Source organism: Homo sapiens, chromosome 2, assembly GCF_000001405.40.
Source record: "Homo sapiens chromosome 2, GRCh38.p14 Primary Assembly".
NCBI classification, from domain to species: Eukaryota; Metazoa; Chordata; class Mammalia; order Primates; family Hominidae; genus Homo; species Homo sapiens.
Window position 1 is genome coordinate 209,145,211 of NC_000002.12, and position 3,191 is coordinate 209,148,401.

General features: G+C 46.5%; 1 pseudogene; it reads left to right on the forward strand.

Moving 5' to 3' along the window:
* CRYGFP (crystallin gamma F, pseudogene) lies at positions 1-2,537 on the forward strand (annotated as a pseudogene).

Sequence of the window (3,191 nt, forward strand, 5' to 3'; positions counted from 1 at the left end):
GCCGCCCCACCAGCTCAGCCCCAGCCAGCCATGGGGAAGGGGAGCCCAGCCCACGCCCAGGGCCCCGGCAGCTTCCTGCATGGTGGGGCCGGAGACCAGGGCAGGGGCAGGCCTGTGAGCCCTGGCCTTGCCTCGCCTTGCCTTGCAGATCACCCTCTACGAGGACCGGGGCTTCCAGGGCCGCCACTACGAATGCAGCAGTGACCACACCGGTCTGCAGCCCTACTTGAGCCGCTGCAACTCGGCGCGCGTGGACAGCGGCTGCTGGATGCTCTATGAGCAGCCCAACTACTCGGGCCTCCAGTAGTTCCTGCGCCGCTGCGACTATGCCGACCACCAGCAGTGGATGGGCCTCAGCGACTCGGTCCGCTCCTGCCGCCTCATCCCCCACGTGAGTGCAGTCCCACCCGGGCCCTTCCGTGCCCTCCAGTCGCATCAGTGATCCACATGGATGATTCACATGACAGGCGACGGGATGGGATGGCAGGCTTCTTTTTTCTGGCTCTAACTATATTCTCTTTTCCTTTATTAACATCCGTAAGGTTTCCTCCCACTGAAAAAGTATGTGATGCAGTGCTTTTAACTGGTCATTTTATTTTGCTAAAGTCAAATTCACCTCTACTGGGAATAAGTTGTGCATGGCATTAGCTCAGAGCGTCTATGCCACAGGTGATGAATGAGCAACAGAATTCCTTGCTCTCAGGTGGTCCTAAACTAGGTACTTGGCTATTTCTTGAAGAGTACCTATGCTCGGTACTCTTCGCCTATGAATTAGGACTAATAACAATAGTTCCTTTCTAAGGTTGCAATGAGGTTGAAAGGAGGGCACCTGGCACAGGCCAATCCCCACCCCCGAGTATTAACTATTATGAACATCAAGGGTCTCTCAAGTCCTGCCTTCTGATTGGGCAAACCAGTAACCAACAATGAGATTCCAATAGCTCCTGCAGGGCCCACTGTTACCTAAATGAAGCCCCAGCAGCCTGGAATTTCACAGTTAGGGATTCCCTAAGTTGACTGTGACAGAGTCCCGGAAAATGAACCACTTTTGTGAAGTCTGAAATGCCCTCACAGGGTTTAACAGCTTGATAAGGACCCAGTCTGGCATTGGAGCCCAAAAACTTAGATTTCTAATTTCAAGTTCCAACTCTTCTAATTACAGACTGTAAGATCCAGTCTTTAGTTTTCTAGTAAAAGGGGAAAAGGCTTTAACGTTGCTCCACATGTTCCAGGGTGTTGTGAAGAACAAATGAAGCAATATGTCAGTCCTTTGCAAACACGGAATGCTGACCAATGTAAAATACCTTATTAGCAGCTGTGCATACCACAAGAGGAACTGCTTTTGAGAATCTCTCCTAAAGAGGGTTTTAGTGGTGGAAGAGGAAACATATTGCGACAAGGGAAAGAAACAAGCAGATGAAGGAAGAACAGCTCAAGAGAGAAAGGCAGGAATAGCTCAGGAGAAACAGCCTAACTTTCCATTTTTCTAAAGATTTTATACTCTTTGATGCTGTACAGGCCTCTTTCAAGATCTTGAACTTCCATTTTTGGTTATTACCTAAAACTGATTTGCAGGAGCACATGTTGGAGCTGAGAACTGAAACCTAGTCTTTGTGATGACTCTTGCTTTTTAGCATGTTAGAGCAGCAGGGCTTAAAGCAGAAAGGCACAGATGAACGGATTGCCCAGGCTGGACTCTCTTCCTGAATTGCCACCAATCTGTGCCTTGCTTGGGTAAAAGAAATTCAACCTCCTCTCCCTCTAGCTTCTGATGTTATTGAGATTCAAAATAATACCTGTTGCCAGGGACACATTTATCTTTTTGTTTAAAATCTGATTATTTTGTATGTCCTACAGGGAGAGCCCCAAACCACCACAATCTATAAAGGAGAAAATGAAACAAATACATAAAATACCTGAAAGTGGTCCTGAGCAGAACCAGTGTGTCTGTTCATGTAGATTGTACCAAAAGCCCTAGGGAGCATCATTCATACCAAAAGAATGGGGAATGACGCCCTCTTGAATTTCACAGTGGACAACATGCCCAACTATACATAGCGCCCCTGGTATTAGCAGTCTCTTTCTTTTAGTTTGGTCACCTTTGATACAGCAAAGATTTTTTTAAAGTCCATTCCCCAGGGGTGCCTGCTGAAATGAGGTCAGGTTTTCTGATTTTCCCTCATCTGCTGTTTGCTGAACCCCCAGGCCAGTTCCCACAGGCTCAGGATCTATGAGCGAGAGGATTATAGGGGCCAGATGGTGGAGATCACTCAGGACTGCTCCTCTCTTCACGACCGCTTCCACCTCAGTGAGATCCACTCCTTCAATGTACTGGAGGGCTCCTGGGTCCTCTATGAGCTGCCCAACTACTGGGGGGACAGTACCTGCTGAGGCCGGGGGACTACAGGCATTACCTCGACTGGGGGGCTACTGATGCTAGAGTGGGCTCCCTAAGGAGAGCTGTGGAGCTCTACTGAAATATTTGTACTCTATCCTTTGCTCCATCTGGAAACTAATAAAATATTTCCTGTGCGTTCTATGCAGTAATGTATCCTCTGTTCCTTTCAGCCTCCTTGGAAGGGCTCAGCAAAAATCATGCTGGGAATCATGTGGATTTTCTTGCATGTATCAGTGGAAAGGGGGTGTGAGGCAGCTGTTAAGAGCACAGCCTCTGGGGCCAGAATGCTGGGCCCAACTCTACTTACTAGTTATAGTTGTGGAGCAAGTTACTTAGCATCTCTGTCCCTCAGTTTCCTAATATGTAAAAATGGGGGAAATAATACTCTTCCTCTCACAAGGTTGTGATGAGATTAAACCTTATTAATGAGGTTAAATGGATTACATGAGTTAACACTTTTAAATCACTTCCTATAGCTTTGCATATGCTCATTTCTAGGAAACTGTTCTGTAAGCTTGATTGTGAAACATCTGGTACCCTCCTTGGTACTCTTTTCTTAGTAGAAATCCCTTTAGGCAATTGCATTAAGTAGGTTGGCTAAGTGAAATTGCATCAGAGGGAGATAGGGATAGAGATAAATTTGTTAAGATACCATGTCTGACACATCTGAGGTCTAAAAATATGTGACTGACTGAATAGATTTATTAATATTTATGTGTCTGGAGCACAAATAAAGAAACAAAGTGCCATCTTAATAAACAGCCTTAAGGAACTCTTCAAAATACAGTTCTCC